Source organism: Homo sapiens, chromosome 2 (assembly GCF_000001405.40).
Source record: "Homo sapiens chromosome 2, GRCh38.p14 Primary Assembly".
Taxonomy (NCBI): Eukaryota; Metazoa; Chordata; class Mammalia; order Primates; family Hominidae; genus Homo; species Homo sapiens.
The window spans coordinates 188,577,515-188,596,444 of NC_000002.12; the positions used below are offsets into that span (position 1 = coordinate 188,577,515).

General features: G+C 32.6%; 1 protein-coding gene across 69 annotated transcripts in view; it reads left to right on the plus strand.

Moving 5' to 3' along the window:
- GULP1 (GULP PTB domain containing engulfment adaptor 1) overlaps window positions 1-18,412 on the plus strand; it is a 304,053-nt gene extending 285,641 nt beyond the window's left edge. For 18 of the 69 annotated variants that reach the window (NR_164745.1, NM_001375929.1, NM_001375930.1 and 15 more), the window contains 3 exons: window positions 6,751-6,889; window positions 10,341-10,435; window positions 16,426-18,412. Coding sequence is in view for 67 of the 69 variants with exons in the window: in NM_001375929.1 (NP_001362858.1) it covers window positions 6,751-6,889; window positions 10,341-10,435; window positions 16,426-16,497 (306 nt within the window). In the remaining 2 variants the exon portion in view is untranslated. Of the gene's footprint in view, window positions 1-4,826; window positions 5,052-6,750; window positions 6,890-10,340; window positions 11,096-11,136; window positions 12,237-16,425 lie in introns of those variants that run through there. The other 51 variants (NM_001375936.1, NM_001375941.1, NM_001375933.1 and 48 more) reach the window with 10 other exon arrangements.
- The last annotated feature ends 518 nt before the right edge of the window (window positions 18,413-18,930 follow it).

Here is an 18,930-nt window from a genome sequence, read left to right on the forward strand (position 1 = left end):
TTGCACAAGATAATTCTAAAAGCATAAACCCTGTCTAACGGGAAGAAAAATATGTTCCCATTCCAGTTCTGATCATAAGTACCTGGTCAAGTCATTTAGCCTCTCCTTCTTTCAGTTTTCCACTTTGTGGTACAATTATATCCATTTAACTTGAAAGATTCTTGTGAAAACTGTAAGATAGTAGGTCTTACAACTAAGAGATCAGTATAAACCAACTGCAGACCTAGAAATCTGAAAAAACACAGATCTTCTGCTGTAAGTTCTAAATTAGAGAAGTCATTACCTTTAAACTTTATTTAAAAAGTGATATTGAAGATACATTATAACAATGAACTTTAAAAGTATGAATCAGCATGGTAATCTAGAAAGATCTGCTAGAACATTTTATGCTACCATTTTCTTTCTCCATCTTTAATGTTATTTATAATTTTTCGGGTTTTTTAACTAGAAAAAATTGATTTAATATATAAATGTAAGGGAATTTATTTCTTAATTATTTCTTAATTTAATTATAAATAGAATTTTGAACCCTGCCATTTTAGTAATTGTGATAAATTATATTTTAATCTTGACATTTTTGTTTTATGTTTAAAAAGTCTTTGGATATTTTTATTGCCAGTGCAATTAACAGCAAAACATAAAATTTCATTATAATGCTAATATTTCTGTAGATATTATGACAGAATTGCTTAATCTTAAAAGCAGTGTTTCTGTTATTATTGTTTAAATGTATTTAATATTTGTGGATAGAATTCAAACACTTTTATATTTCTTTTTGTTGTCACATTTATATAAAACTCAAGGTTGAAATATTCACCATTGCCTAAATGCACCAAGACACTACTTACTGAAAAAAAAGAGCTACAAAGGGGAGGGAGAGCATTAGGACAAATACCTGATGCATATAGGGCTTAAAACCTAGATGACAGGTTGATAGGTGCAGCAAACTACCATGACACATATATACCTAGGTAACAGACCTTCATGTTCTGCTCATGTATCGCAGAACTTAAAGTAAAATAAAAAAAAAAAAGAATAAAAAGAGCTACAAAAATGTAGCAACAACAAATCTCAAACATGGACACTCATTATTAATATATCTGAATAACCTAACAACTTCTGTATAATTACCATATAATTTTTGAGCACAGAATTCCCCTAAGTATAATAATTCAGATACTGTGCATGTTCCTAAAGACCAAAACACCTGGAACTACGAACATAAAGCAGTTGCTTGAACAGTGGTGCCATGTACTTCTGTAGGACAATCCAAAAAATTTGGTTCCTAGCCATCTGTCAGAACACTGACAGAAAGACCAAAATAAAATTCCTCAAACTGATTTTCTTCTCAACAATGTATTTAATTACTTTAACACATAAACATCCTCAACCAGTTAAAAATAGCAGCCAAAAAAAAGACTGGTTCCAGAACCTTGAAACCTAAGTGCGAAATTGTCACTGTTTGCCATTTAGGTGCTACATCCGCACGTTCATATCCTTATTGAATAGGCCTAACCATTTAGTACAGAATCAAGCACCAAATTTATCCATATATTTAAATGTGCTGGACTTAGATTTCATTTTTATAGGGAATTACATATAACATCTGATTCCTTGACTTGAATTGCTTCTAGGTTAGGAATCAAAAACTCAAACTTTAATATAGCCCAGATTATGACATTCAAGTGTGAAATGGGCATATGGTAGGAGTGATAAATTTGAAAGCACAGGCTACCTTCAAAGACACAGCAGATATTCAATACCACTCAACTATTTTCATGCAAGTATGTGGGCCCACTTTCTAGATTTCCTAACTTCTGGAGAAAAGTTCTGGATTTTAATATGTAATCTATTTTTATATATTAATTTATTTTTAATTTAAAAATTTCTATTGATACATATTAGTTGTACATGTTTGTGGGTAGAGATGATATTTTGATACCTGCACACAGTGTGTAATGATCGAGTCAGGGTAATTGCAATATCCATCACCTCAAACATTTATCTTTTCTTTGTGTTGGGAACAGCTAGTTCTATACTTTAAAAGACCCATGTGATCTAAACAAAAACTGCCAAATTGCTGATGATCCAAAGAAGACCTGTGAGGACTAGTTCTGGAGTATTAAACTCTAGTACCAAAACAGTTGACATTATTAAATATCCCTGATTTACCATTCTGAAATTGAAAAAACCTCTTAATTGTAGTATATAAATACTTGATTATTTTTATATTATATACATTCTCCATTTCTGTAAGTTTACCTCCCCAGAGGAAGTAGTACTATGAGAATACTGCAGACACCATGATAAAAATAACAGAGCACTTTCAAGTAAGGTTATTTTGACCTTCAGTTGGTTTTCAGGTACCTAGTAAAGAATTTTGGCCAACATATATCCTAAAAAATATAGAGTATTACCATGTATATTTTAAACTAGATAATATCAAGGACAACTTCCACTTAATATCTTATCTTTACTCAGTACAGACAGCCTTATCAATTAACAGTTTAAGTAAAAAGATGCTCTGGTATAAATTAGACAATAAATATCATTTACACTAATGTGTTACATAGAGTATTTGGGAACGAAAAACAAAAATTTTCTCACAAAGAGCTTACAATTGTAATCTGTAATTAAAAGGTGGCTACCAAGGACAGAATTTTACAGTAAGTTATATCGAACAAAAACAGATTTTAAAAATTGTGTACATACACATCTCTACATAAATAGATGGAGGTGTATTACAATGGAGATCAAGGCCGGGCGCGGTGGCTCACGCCTGTAATCCCAGCACTTTGGGAGGCCGAGGCGGGCGGATCACGAGGTCAGGAGATCGAGACCATCCCGGCTAAAACGGTGAAACCCCGTCTCTACTAAAAATACAAAAAATTAGCCGGGCGTAGTGGCGGGCGCCTGTAGTCCCAGCTACTTGGGAGGCTGAGGCAGGAGAATGGCGTGAACCCGGGAGGCGGAGCTTGCAGTGAGCCGAGATCCCGCCACTGCACTCCAGCCTGGGCGACAGAGCGAGACTCCGTCTCAAAAAAAAAAAAAAAATGGAGATCAACAGAGAAATAAAAAATTATGTATTTATATATGCATATTAATAGAGTGATTAATTATATAACTCAGACTAGCAGAGGTTCTGCTTCCACACTGAACCCTTCCCTCAATTTAATCTCTCACTTTACATGGCTTCCTTTTTCTCTCTGCTTCCAGAAATATGTGAAGGGGGGCCTCCTAGCTTAAGGACATACCTCAGACTTGTTGGTCCTTAAAATTCTAATTTTAGTTACTACCTTTTACAATAAAGTTTATCAAAAATCAGATTATTTTTGGCTGCCTGAATTTTTGTTAGTGGTGAAAGATCTCTGACATGTGATTTGCGGCTGAGGAATGTGGCTCCCGGCCAGAATCTTATGTGCGATCTTTCTGGCCCGAGCGTAGGCAGTTACAAAGGCTTTGCCTGGCACACCTCATCACATTGTATTTGGTGGGAGAAAGGTGCCCTCATCACATTGTATTTGGTGCACAGTTTGGAGGAATTGAATCTAGTACTCAGGTGCCCTGGCCAGCCATGCTCTTGTGCATATCTGCATTTATAGCCCAGGCAACTCCACTCAGGGGCCTCCTTTTAGGGGGCCTTAGGTGCCTCTCCTGAGACCACCTTATTCGAGGGTCTTGGAGACCACTTTTCTCCAGTATGACTCAGTATTCAGTACTTTTCTACTGCTAGCCCTTCCCTTCTCCCTCCTACCGTCTCTTGTCCGAAAAAAACCCTCAGGAACCTTTTGTTCAGGAGTCCCTAAGTAATGAGACAAAGCCTCACTTCTGCAGTGATACATCTGACCCTTGCTCAAGTGCCATTCCTTGGGGAAAATGGAGCATTGATGGAGCAGGCACCTTCTCTCTGGCCTCTTGCTTATACTATAGCAGTAAATGAATAAAGACTTAATTATTACTTCCATTTTGGCTGCTGTTTAATTGGCCACTGTGACATCTGGCAGCTCAGCTCTCTCCAGCTCAGCTCTTAACAGTAGCTTTCCATGTTGTAATGGAAATAGCCCCTAAAAGTCATGCACATACTGATGTTCAGACCTAGTACACTGCTTGCTTGTTATTCATTATCTCTCTGATTTATTTGAGATCCTTGTCAATCACCTCTTCCCATCACCCAAAAAGTCTTACAATTTGGAGCTCCTCATGACTATAGAAAGGGCATGATGACTAGAGTCAGACTGTTTTGAATTTTGAATCTGCTTTCTACCTCATACAAGTCACAAAGAATCTGTGGACCTTAATTCCCATGTATTTATTGTAATAAGGACATAATATCACTACTACTGATACTTCAAATAATGTTTTGAGGATTAAATATAAAATGTATGTTGTAATCCCTTTTGAAAATTCTACACAACCATAACTTTATGTACAAGAGTTTACTCCTAGTTCTGTAACTGTTCTCTCATTACTATCCTTCCTTTTTCCATTTCATTACAGAAGCCCTCTCCAAAATAAATCTTCAGGCTTTCTTCATGTTTCTCTCCATTACCTTCCTCTTAGGTCCCGATGAATGCAATATTCTATTTAAAATACCAAAAAATGTAATATTTCAGTAAAAAAAAGATCAAATTAAGCAATCCAGAATCTAAGGACTATCACATAGGAAAATCAACTCTAACTCTATGTTTTAATTTTAGAAAAGTTACTGTGAAATGATCTTATCATCTTAACAAAACACCATTTTACAAATAAATTTCAAGTATACTTTCTCCTTTCCTCCATGCCTGCCCTCTTAGGATATTTCTTTTTCTGTCATTCCTTTACAGCTGCTGCACAATATGTCTGATCATGAACAACATGTGTTTCAGAGATGCTCATCCTCTTTCTGGCGTAGTAATGGTGATTCATCTCCCTGTCTCAATATTTCTTCCATCTCTGTCACTCCTATCAACTCGCCTGATTCCAGACTATCACTGGGACTGTTAATACCACCACCTTCTAAATGTGGCTTTCCCAAGCCAGTCAGTGAGAGCAGCATCCCAAGACCTCATGTAATTTGCTAAGCAGATAATTCTTTTTTATTATCCCACTTATTTTGCTTAAATTCTGCCAAAATGTGCTATTTGTAAAGTTATCAAAAATTTAGATGTATCTTGAGTCAATGTGATGTGATCTGGAGCCTTTGTGTGCCATTGTTGTTTTCTTTGATTACCTGATACCAGAAAGTTTCAAGTAGAGGGTGGTGACAGTGTAGAAATTTACATACAGATACTTCAAAGGATCTATCAGATGTTGCAGTTGGGAAATTAGATCATTGGTAAGAGCAATTTCAGCAGAGTTCAGTGCAAAAAGAACAAATCTAGATTGATAAGAGTTAAAGATAGAATGAAGTAAATCTTAGGACAGAAAGTGTAGTATCTCTTTCAAGGAGCTTAGCCTTGAAGGAAAAAGAAAAACAGAATAGAGGCTGGAAGATTAAAGAGGGACAGAGTAAATAAATTTTTGATTGATTTGTTTTGCTTTTAATGACAGCCAAGATTTTAGAATTTTTGTATCGTGAAAAAGAGTAGAGATATAGAAGTGAGAGGGGATACAGGAATGGGATAATTAGGGGAATGGTATTGCTGAGTAACAGTAAAGGGGTGAGGGGATACAATAAACAAATTGTTAAAGAAAGGGGGATGACAGCAATTTTCCTGCATGAAAAATAATGTACTAGCAATTATTTTAGCTGAATAGCAAACCCATCATTCTCTACACACAATAAGCCTGATTTTTTCATCACCTGCACTACCTGTGAATCAGAAAATTAAACGTATTCTGAGAATTCTAATTTTAATATGAACTACTGGAAGCAATCTCTGTCCAAGTTCTCACAGGAAAAGCAAATTTTTCGCCACTATTCCCCCAAAATGGAAATTCTCTTTTATCCCTGATCAAATCAGATGGTTTTCAAAGGAGATTATACATATATACATATTGTTCCCTGTTTTACAAAGTGATAAATGTCTAATTTTGATATTACTTCTTGGCTACATTTTCATGAGATTTTCATTTATCTTTCCCTATATGTGTTCAGTCCTGGCCCAGACTGTATCAGAAAACTCAATGATTTGGGCAGTACACTGGCGATTATTAATTTAGTTTATAAGATTGCTATTTATTACAGAAAACTTGATGAAATCTTTCAGGAGTAAAATGTACTGCAATGAATATCAGTTGGTTCCCATTGTTGATATAAATACAAACTAAAATATACTCTACTTTTGAGAATGCAAAAAAAATCAATTGCATTTGAATGTTTATATTTAAGAAGGCAGGTCACTTATGTCTAATTATTCCAGTTTAAAATGTAATCTTATGCAGCGTATCTTACTGAAATCATATTTTTACATGAATAGTTTCTAATATATCTAATTCTCTGTTACAAGTAGCAGTCATTTCTATATATCCCAAAAATTCACTGTATCTTTTATATTCATCTGGAATAATATTGTCACCGTTTTTGCCATCATCTTTGAGAGCATTTTTACAGAAATTTTCTATTGCTTTCTTCTAAATGAGCATTTATCATAATTAGTGGAACCATATGAAATTGCGAATACTTAACTATTTTTGGTCTACAAAATGGCAAATTCTTATGATGCAACTGAAATTGTTGTTTACATATATTTTATATGCATATGAAATATTTAGCATTACAATGTGTCTATATGAAATATTACCCTAATTCATTTATTTTCATTGCAGGCAGGCAGTATGACACCTAAGTCGCCCTCCACTGACATCTTTGATATGATTCCATTTTCTCCAATATCACACCAGTCTTCGATGCCTACTCGCAATGGCACACAGCCACCTCCAGTACCTAGTAGATCTACTGAGATTAGTAAGCTTTCTCAACAAATCAAAGTTTCTTGTTATAGTTGCATACATTTTAAATATATAATTAAGACTTTGTGGGAAATTACATATCTTAACAACCTTACTTACAATTTTAATTATTAAAGTATTATTTTTATATTTGTATAAATTTCCATTAATTCTATTTTACTTTATAATTCAGACTACACTACTAATGACATCTCTGCTTGCAACTTTTACCTATTGTGTGAACAATTATGTTTTGGTGTATTACTTCATATTTAATTATATATCACTGTTTTGGGTTATATTTTTAATATTTTACTTTAACTTTTAAAAATAACTGGTGGTAATTAAATTGATCATTTTTTACATGTTTAATAGAGCTGGTTAAAATATTTTTGTTATCATAGGGTTTATGGACTTTTTTGTTAAAAAATATATAAATTATATCATGATTTCTTAACCTTTTGTAAGGGTTCTTTCCTATCTAAAATGCTATAAATTCATTGCTTTTCTGTTTTATCTTTTATATATCTGGAAGGAATATTAAAGTCTCTTTTTGATGAATTAGAAAACACCTATAAGCCTGTAAAATAAAAAGCAAGTTAGTTACTTGTAAAATACAATGAGCATACAGGCATTGGGTGAACGTTTCCATTCCAAATTGGAGAAATTGGCAAAGCGAAGGAGCCACAGGCCCCTTGCAAGTTTGAAACCCGGTGGGGCAGTCATTAAATCTTAAAGCTCCAAAATTATCTCATTTTACTCCATGTGTCACATCCAGGGCATGCTAATGCAAGGGATGGACCCCAAGGCCTTGGGCAGCTCCACCTCTGTGGCTCTGCAGGGTACAGCCCCCATAGCTGTTTTCACAGGCTGGCATTGAGTGACAGGCACACAGTGCAAGCTGTTGGTGGATCTACCATTCGGGGGTCTGAAAGACAGTGGCCCTCTTCTCACAGCTCCACTAGGCAGTGCCCCAGTGGGGACTCTGTGTGGGGGCTTTAACCCTACATTTCTCCTCTGCATTGCCCTAGTAGAGGTTCTCCATGAGGGCTCTGCTCCTGCCACAGACTTCTGCCTGAACATTCAGGCGTTTCCATACATCCTCCGAAATCTAGGCAGAGGCTCCCAAAGCTCAACTCTTGTCTTCTGTGCACCTGCAGGCCCAACACCACAGGGAAGCCACCAAGGCTTAGGGCTTTTACCCCATGAAGCAATGGCTTGAGCTGTATCTTGGCCCCTTTTAGCCATGGCTAGAGCTGGAGTGGCTGGGATGCAGGACATCAAGTCCTGAGGTTGCACAGAGCAGCAGGGCCCTGGGCTTGGCCCACGAAACCATTTTTTCCTCTTAGGCCTCTGGACCTTTGATGGGAGGGGCTGCCGCAGATGTCTGACATGTGCTGGTGACATCTTCCCCATTGTCTTGGCTATTAACATTCAGCTCCTTTTTACTTATGCAAATTTCTGCAAGAGGCTTGAATTTCTCCTCAGAAAATGGGTTTTCTTTTTCTACCACATAGTCGGGCTGCATATTTTCCAAACTTTTTGCTCTGCTTCCTTTTTAAACGTAAGTTCTAATTTCAAATTATTTCTTTGTGAATGCATATGACTGTATGCTTTTAGAAAAAGCCAGGTCACATCTTGAATGCTTTGCTGCTTAGAAATTTCTTCTGCCAGATACCCTAAATCATCTCTCTCAAGTTCAAAGTTCCACAGATCTCTAGGGCAGGGGTAAAACACTGCTAGTCTCTTTGCTGAAGTGTAACAAGAGTGCTCCAGTAACACCTTGATAGATTTTTCAGTGTCTAAATATTCCTGAGTATCAAAGTTTGATAAATATAGACAGAGAAATAGAGATTATATAGACATAATCTATATAAGTGAGTCACTCCAAGTCACTTCTTGTCATTTCGTTTACTAAATTTTTACTTCCTTTTACAACGGGACATGTTTGAAGCAGAACCTTTTCACCAAATCTTCCCTTTCATTAATTCATTTTTTAACAAACACCTACTAGGTGAAAAACATTATTCAGTATGCTTATGGTGTAGTGGAAACCAGGACATTTCTCCAGAGAAAAGATCCTCTGAAATCTAAATTTTGATTGATTGCCTGAGCAACACTAAACTGAGGAAAATAAATAACAGCAATAGTAATATTCATCAGTTATATATAAGGTAACAATAAATTCCCATTTGATTAGGATAGCCCTGGCTTATAGATTTTTACCCAGTGTAACTATTGGAAATGCTCCTTTTAGTTTTAAAAGCATCTGTATTTGGATGATAAATTATATGTTCTCCTTATTTATACAATACCTGCAAGTACAAGGAGCTTGTAAGAATTTCACATTTATTAACTTATTTAATACAAGAATCTGGGAAAAAACATGAAAACTGGAAAAGTAAGACTCCTTCACAATGAGAATCACAGAGTGATTTTAGAGGATATGGCAGAAATCAAGTAGCATAAATATTATTTCTTTTTTAATTTTTTAATTTTTTAATTTTTTTATTATACTTTAAGTTTTAGGGTACATGTGCACATTGTGCAGGTTAGTTACCTATGTATTTCTTACATAGAATTGAATTTAGAGAATGTAAAGTTCTCTGCAAAATGAAGGTATGAATATGTTATAAATACTAATTTTCATATATAGTGTAATGTTTTTCCAATTAAGGATACATTTGAATTGATTCAGAGGAAAGAAATTTCTTAAGAATTTTTTATTTTAAAAATCCCATAATAGGCCGTAATCTATCAATTACAAACATCAATTTTAACTTTGATACTTCTTTAGTGATAAAAAAGTAGTGCATACTTTAGAACATATGTACAGAAAGCTTTTTTGACATTGCATTCCTGCTGCTTTTAAAAAAGAAATGTATTTCTGGGATAGGAGGCATTTTTAAAGAAACTATCTCATTGTGACTATCTAGAAAGGTGACATTTCATACTACATGAGACAATGTGCTTTAAAATTTTCTCTGAATAAAAGGAGAGATAAGAGTACATGAACTTTGAGTAGAGCTACTTACAAGTCTACTTAGTCCTACATATTGCTTTACTATTGTGTTGCAAGGCATCAATCAATGGAATTAGGGTAGTCTCAATGAGTAGTGCATTAATTTTAGCAAATTTAAATTGCTTCAATAAAATATAGGTGTTGTAACATACAATTATCAGCTCTTTGGTGAATTTGACATTAAGAAATCTTCACTAAAACACAGAAACCTCTCTAGATAATAATTCTTTATAATAAAACTTTTTAATATCATAAAATGGATCTTTTCTTCCTTGTTAATGTTTAACTGGTCTAAGGTCAGGAAAGCCCAACATACAGTGTAAGTGTGGGTTAGTGGCTTATTTGATCATGTAAATATTCATTTATATAATCCTGCCTTTGAAATCTAACTAACTCCAGCTCACTTCTTGTTATTTCATTTACTAAATTATTTCCTTCCTTGCAGAACGGGACCTGTTTGGAGCAGAACCTTTTGACCCATTTAACTGTGGAGCAGCAGATTTCCCTCCAGATATTCAATCAAAATTAGATGAGATGCAGGTGACTATTTTGATAGACTGGCCCATAAATGATTTATTTCATTTTGATATGGGACAAAGAGAATGTTATGTACCAAAACTATGGTTTCCTTCAATTATTTTCGCTATAAAAACTCGCTTAAAATAATTACTTTAAAATAATAATGTACAGTTAGTCCTAAAAATACTCCTACATATGCTAAGGATAAGGTTGTTGGTTTTTTAAATGGTTCAATTTATAATGTCAATAAGATGGTTCATTTTTTAAATACAAAATGGCATGGATTCTAATGGTTCATTGTTCTGAAATCTAGAGTTAAACAGTCACTGCATTAGATTTATAAGATTTGATCTCAGTCTTAACAATTATGAATTTGAAAATTGTAAATGGGTAGATGAAGGAAAATCTTTGTAAGAGTGAAATTATTCTCTCTGAAAAGAAGCATTGTAGCTGTAGTTCATAACTTTTGGGCTTTTATTTAAAAAGCAAACAACCAGTGACAACTTATTTAGGAATGTAGTTCAGTTGGGTTTTCATTTCTCTCTCTTCCTTTTACTTTTTTGTTCTAAATTGGTCTGAAGTTTACAGAAATTGGTTTTAAATGCTTTGCACTATGGGCCATGATTTAAAAATAGTCTTATAAACCCTAGAATAAAGTCTTCTCTTTATATTTGCCCTTTACATTTTGGTGAAGTTATTATATCCTATTTTTCATCAAAAAGTTTATATATGGTAGAATCCAGACAGACACCAATTATATGAAGCTGATTGAGAAGAGACAATGAAGACACTAAAGTAAGGAGAAGGAGGTATTTTTGTTTATTAGTCTTGGGTTAATACATTAATTCTCTATGCCTCACTTCCTAGAAAAAACAATTATGGGTGAACACTGATCTATCACTGATAATTGCAATCCTTCTTAGAAAGTTAATTTAAATGCCCTTTTACTCATTTTTGACTGCAGCTGTGTAGCTATCTTATTTTCTAGGTAGTACATGAATTCATTATTGTTCTAGATGTAATAACATGCCTGAATTTAAAAGTTGAATTACTTAACATATGTCTTGAGGTTTTCAAAGAATCTATTAAAACAGTGTTTCTCAAGTTGAATGATTCTTAATCCCCTTTTACATAAAAATTGTTTTAGATCCTTAGTATTAACTTACAATTTTTAAATATTGACAAAAATGTTATAAACAACTTGTCCTTATGGTTTTTATAAAATTATGAATTCAATAAATTATAAATTAAATGAAAGCCAAATTGCAACACCAATACAGGACGGATGATCTTATTTGGTTAAAGCTAAAACCACCTTATCAAATTTCTATTGATTTCAACATGTATTCTATCTGATGGCACAGATTTCCTAGTTCTTTTCTATATTTCAAACGCTATGAAACTTTCAAATGGCGCATGATAATTTAGCAAGAATGCTGTATTTCATATGAAATCAATTCCTTTTCTTTTACATTAGTTTTACCCATTGGACATGTACTATCTGGTACTAATGCTTTTGTAGTAACAAAGAAATATTTATGTGGTAGTATTTATTCTCAAGGGTTGCACAGGTCATACAGAGTACTTCTCTAAAAATTTTTTAGATTTTCCCAAAATTGGAAAAAAAATTATGGAGTTTTAAGGATAAGCCTCTATTTCCAGATTTTGTTGAAACCAAGTGTGAGACACAATGTATTGGGATGATTGAGTGATGGTGACACTCAATGTTAAACCGTGGTGTTTTTGCTTTTGCTGTTTCTAATATTTTCTTAATGTCTTTTTAAATTCTTTACTGCTTTCATGGTGGGTAGCGCCAGAGATGGTTGGTATATTATTTTTATAATAATTTTAAACAACTTACAAATTTTTAAAGCTGAAACCTTAAAATTTGCATGCCTTATTTAATAAAAATTCAAACAACAGCTTCATATGGGTATATCTGATAATTAGTTATGTTTAGAGAGGTTTTATAAACCACATTTTAAGATTATTTTTCAGTGACTTAGTCACTATTGCATTGTTCACTTCATTGTTTCCTTTCTTTTCTTTTTTTTTTTGAGGCAGAGTCTCACTCTATCGCCCTACCCAAGCTGGAGTGCAGTGGCATGATCTTGGCTCACTGCAACCTCCACCGCCCGGGCTCAAGCAATCTTCCCTCCTCAGCTTCCTGAGTAGCTGAGACTACAAGTGTGCACTACCACGCGTGGCTAATTTTTGTATTTTTTGTTAAAAACAGGGTTTCATCATGTTGTCCAGACTGGGCTTGAACTGCTGGGCTCAAGCGATCTACCCACTTAGACCTCCCAAAGTGCTTGGACCACAGGCATGAGCCACCATACTTGGCCATGATTGTTTCTTTTAGTCCAATATTTACTTGCAAGGTCACTTTAACAAAAGTAAAATAATATTTTCTTCATCTAAAGTCTATGATGGCTTTTATTATTAATCGTGCTAGCCTAATGAATCTAATGCAGACATTTAGCTATCTTTGCATATCATATAAAAACTTAATATAGTACAATGGGTTGTGAACACCATATTGAGTTAATAAGCCTAGTGAGACATTTAGTTTTCATCTTTCATTTACAGAGTATTGTGACTAAGCTATTTTTAAGAGAATCGAATTATTAAGTTTGAAATCACAGAAACATCTCATGCATGTAAGCATTTATGCAGAAATGTTAGACCATATTTCAGTATAAGCAGTTAGAAAATTAAACATCTATTTGAAATCAATAATGTAGCTATTTGATTTGACATAATTTAAACTGTCCAGTACATGTCACCAACAGGAAAATAAGTGGAATAGTATTGATAGCCCACACTGTAACATGTGAGCTATAATAATTTAATACATTAAAAAACAAGCATGGCAAGTTCATGAATGATGAAAGAATCATGTATGAGTGGTGTTAAGTCAGCTAGCTAGTACTCTGGGAGAAGATCAATGTACTGCTGAAACTTACAGCAAATGCCGAGATAAATTTCAGAAGTAATCAACATTTTAAAATATTTAAAATATTATTGAATATTCATCAGACTTTTGAATTGAAAAGAAAATTTTATAAGGAAAAGAAAAATACGGACATATAGTATCCAATTTTTTAAAATTTACTGTCTAAAAATATATAAATACATTACATATACATAATTAAAGCAATTAGACAAATGGCTAGGAAACTAAAGAATCAACAGATAAATAAAAAAGCACTAGTTCACAAAAGAAGACCACAAGTGGCTTACACATATGTAGACATGTTCTGTCTAATCAAAGTAAACATATAAATCAAATAAAGAACTGTAATGCTATTTTAATCTAGCAGATTATTTTTTAAACTAATAATCAATCAATACAACTGAAAGTGTGATAAAACAAGCACTGTAAATTGTTGGCAGTCCAGAGTTAGTTCAGAGGTAACTATGGCCTAGCAGTCTCTTTAAAGGGTAGCTTGTTATTAATACTTTTATTTCTGTTTGATATCAAAACTTTAAAGCAATCTATTCTGATGAAAAAATAAGTATGAATGTGTTCAATCTCTGCGAATAAAAATACCTAGTCAACATTATTCATAATTTTAAAATGCTGAACGATTTTTTTTCAAATCAACGTAAAATGCATTTTTACGATGGAAACAATCATAAAAATTAATAGCATTTTATATAGTCATAATAAATTAGTTTTGTGGGAATTTAAAATAATCAGGGTCTGCAAAGATGAAAAGAGGAAGATAGAAAACTATATGTAATATATTACTTACATAAGAAAATTATATGGCATAAATATATATTCATATTATCATTAAAATCATTTTTAAAAATGTATAGATAGAAAAAAAGACATACCTCAAAATGTAGTGATTTTTCTTTCCTTGATATGCTTTTCTATTTCAAAATAAGAAAATTCATCAAAATCTTTCGTATAAAAAGCATATGGTGAATAATACTTTAATTATTTAATCATTCTTTTGTGTGACGTTAGCTTATGATAATTCCCATCACTACATAAGTAAATAAAGTCTCATTTTTATTAAGAAGTTTGAAGCTCAACAGGTGTGGGAAATTTTATCTGAGGAAGAAAGAAAATCAAGAAACCTTATAATATGTAAGGATCCTTAAAAAGTCAATATGGAGATAGATATTATTGTAAGTCATATACTAACACTTTATTATTAAAATAGTGATTGACCTCTGTTTTACTTTGGCTGCTATTCTGCTTTTCCAATATTGATAACACATTGACAAATAGTATTTTCAGGGTAATTGAAGTGATACTGGTTTACTAGCAGAATGAACTGATAAAATTTAAAAGTACCGTATGGTATCAAACATTTCCACATGTAACTCTCTTTCTATCTGTCATTATCTATCAATGTATCATCTATTTACCATTTGTAATATACCAGAAGATGACATAATATACAGATCTTCAGATATCCAAATAAAATAATTTTAAAGAAAAGTTTACTTACAGTATTTTAGTTTAAAGTATTTATTTTTCTAAGTATTTGCTGGCTGTTTGAAAAATATAAATAAATATGGCAAAATGTATTTTGTGATAAGAATAGATTTTTAAAAAATAATGATAAGTAGTCTCATATTTACTCAACTAAATAAAGATTGTATTCCAAGTACTGGAAAGACATTTTGAAAAACTTTCACAATGATTACATCACTGTAATTGCTATATAGTAGTAGTCTCTGTGCTGTAAACATAAAGAATATTCTTTGAACATTAATAACAAATAAAGTATGGCTTACAGCTTTGTAACTACCTTCCTCCTCTATATGATGATGTTTACATTGGATTTATAGAAAGATAAGAACATTTACATAATTATTCTAAATAAAAGTAATTTGGAGAGATGCAAAAAGATACCCAATTAGCTAACATACAAGTAGATATAGTCAGTCCAATTAAATAAAACACCCAAAGCAGAGGTGAAAACCAATGGTTACCTTTAGGAGACATTTTGTTTTCTTTAGGAATACACTGCTATCTGCATATTATTTGCCAATAATGTGTTGCATGGCCACTCCAAATTACAAATTACCTTTCTGAAACATTTCAGTTCTGTTAGTAAGAAAAAAAAGGTAGAGTATGTAGAGAGCACTACCACATTTGCTTCTACAAGGAGACCTACAATGTAACCTCCACTTTCATTGATCAGTGCAAGTCTGTGCTTTTCATCTTTTTGTAGGCCAATGTGTATAGATTTACAGGAAAGGGTAGGAATGGGGAGAGGTGGCAAGACTGGAGATGGCCCACAGTTCAATTATCTTATGCAATAAAAAAAAAAGAGATTGGAGTGAAGGAGGACAGACTCCTATGCCATTATTTTAATTCAAAATCTTGGTGGAAAAACACTTTCTTAGCAATTGTGTTCTTATACTCAATAAATCATAGACAACTTAACTTCTAAAATATGCAAGGAAGAGTAGGAGTCAAAGAAGCCAGTCCGCTACAAGCAACAGCAAGGCTAGTAGGGGAAGTTTTCTCCATGGCAAAGTAATCTGCAGTTGTGTGTTCCACAGAGGATACGGCATTGCATTTAAAAGAAGTATTTTACCCGGGCTCTGGTCAGTGCTAACCAGGAATAAGGTGAAAATCATCAGGCTATCTTGAACCTCTCATCAATTTGAAGCCTAACTATCTTAATAATATTTAAATTAATAATAATTTTTAAAGCTAACAGATTTCATTTACAATAGAATGATGTAGTAACTAGCCTTTTCTGAAAAAGAAACCTTTATCTTAATTTTATGTTTTCTCTTCTGTCTCTCATGCATGCTAACCTCACATAGATTTAAAACATTAAAGTGTTAATGGGTCTGAAAGAACTACCAGTGCTATACACCTATATAAAAATTCAGCAAGTCAACATTTGACATATAGTTATTTATTAGTTGATCAAAGCATGAATATTTCAACTTTAGTGCATAGTCTTTTTTATTCACTGATTTTATTTTGCTGTAAGCATTTCAGATATTAATTATTTTATTCTGTTTTACAGGAGGGGTTCAAAATGGGACTAACTCTTGAAGGCACAGTATTTTGTCTCGACCCGTTAGACAGTAGGTGCTGACATCAAGAACAAGAAATCCTGATTCATGTTAAATGTGTTTGTATACACATGTCATTTATTATTATTACTTTAAGATAGGTATTATTCATGTGTCAATGTTTTTGAATATTTTAATATTTTGAAAATTTTCTCAGTTAAATTTCCTCACCTTCACTATTGATCTGTAATTTTTATTTTAAAAACAGCTTACTGTAAAGTAGATCATACTTTTATGTTCCTTTCTGTTTCTACTGTAGATGAATTTGTAATTGAAAGACATATTATACAAATACCTGCCTTGTGTCTGAGTTCTATTTAGTTAGCATCTTGAAATTTGTATTCATTTTCCAGATGGCTAGTTTATTAATGATTTCCCAAAAGCCATACCTTAAAGATAACTTTTTAAATTCTGAAGAGACATGCCAATGTCAAACTAAACATGTTCTGTTTTTAAACCAACAAACATGTTACTATTCATTGGACAGATATCATTTTATGTATAAATACTGTTCACATCACTGGGAAAATGTAAACTTTAAACATAATGCCACAAGGTCACTAATTTCTAGCAGGTAAAATTATAAGGATATAAATTCCAATAATAAACCAAATGTATTTAGAGTATTTATTAGTAAATGCAAGGTGATGTTAGTTATGATCAGTTATACTCTAAATATTTAATTTGTTTTATAAAGGTAGTGAAAAAATGAAAATTTGCTATTTATTAAAAAACATTAAATTTCATTCCAAATGAGATAAGTGATATTACTATAACATCTAAGCATCATCTGATTTGATATTCCCTAAAAAACATTTGGAATATATGCTATCTATAGATTCAGTATCTACTACCCATATTTACTTTACCAAATATATTTCTCCTCACTGCATAAGGACTACTCTTCTCATATTTTCTTCTTTGATGAAGATATTTTTCACCAAAGTTTATTTTGTGATGCCCTCTTGGTTTTGATACTTTAAAATCTGTGGCACCCGTTCTACATGAATTATCAATATTTGGTAAATTCAATCTGTATTTGTTTTGTTAAAGTCAAAAATCTCATTTTCCAAAAAAAAAAAAAAAACCCAGTTACTGCTCAGTTTAGTCTTGAACATGAGCAATAAAATTCTCTTGCATTTCATTATTGATGTGCTGATGAACCTGGACTTTTAAAAATATTTGTTTCCTATACCTTTACCCTTTACCTAACAGACTAATTTGTACTCAGTAAAACAAAAATTTATGGTCAAAATTTCTAACTTGGTTCATCACATTATAAGATAAATAAATTAAATTAATGAAAATGTGACTTAGAGTAGGGGTAGCCCTCAAAAATAGATTTATCATTTACTCATTGGAATTTTCTTCAAGTGTTAAAGGTACATTTTCACTAGGAAAAGAAATCAAATATGCTTATGCAATATATATTTGTGTGTTTTTCCTTAATGTTATATGGTATATATGAGCCTTCTTGTTTAGTTTCTTTTATCTGCTAAGTTGTACCTTAATTAGAGGGCAATATATGTTTCATAAAGAAGAGTCTTTATAATTTTGTTTGTCAGATAGTATTTTGGAATTTGTATAATAAGGATGTTTAGAAGCCATATAAGTGGCTTTTTTTAACAGATAGAATTTGTATTTTTATTGTACTTTAAAAAGATTTATGTAATAGGTATATATTTAGTGGCCATTTATTATCAATGGTAACACAATGGAGTACTAAGATGGTATTTGCACATTTAAGATATGTTACTTTACCAATTTTTAATGGTAATCAACTCTGCTACTGGCATGATGAAATAGTACATAACTGGTCATTAATTATGAACATTTATTTCTCCAGTGCGTTTTTATGAAGATCTGGTTGAAAATTGTATTTCTATGTAAACTCAACGATATGTTTGGTTTTCCTGAAAATAAATGATTTTAAATAAATTAAATTGCATAATTCATTTGTTAAATAATCTCTAATTAATACAGACACATTCTGAAGCTAATTATGTAACAGATTTTCTTGATCATAAATGGAGATAAAAGAAAGGGAGGAAGAGGGAAAGGCAAAGAAGAAATAAAGGGCTTTACCTTTAACTTCATTTCTTGCAGCCCACACACATTTTAGCTTTATGAGCAAATATCATTCAGTTGTGAAAACAGTGGACTGATCCTGCTGGTGAGAGAGGTCATGATTTGCTTCCTTTTACCAGAAGCATCTGGTGCAAAAACTGTATTATGTAAATATCAATTTCATAACTGGAGGCTTTTTTTAACTTAGCAGTAATGAAAAGGGTGTCTTGGCTGATAGTTTTATAAAGGTGGAACTTGATAATAGGATGTGGATTATGACTAAGAGTGCAATCATGAAGAAGTTTTGAATCAATTTAAAACATGATGTTAAGTATTTTATGGACACGGGACTCACATGCACAGCCTTTGAACACCAAGGAACAATTCAT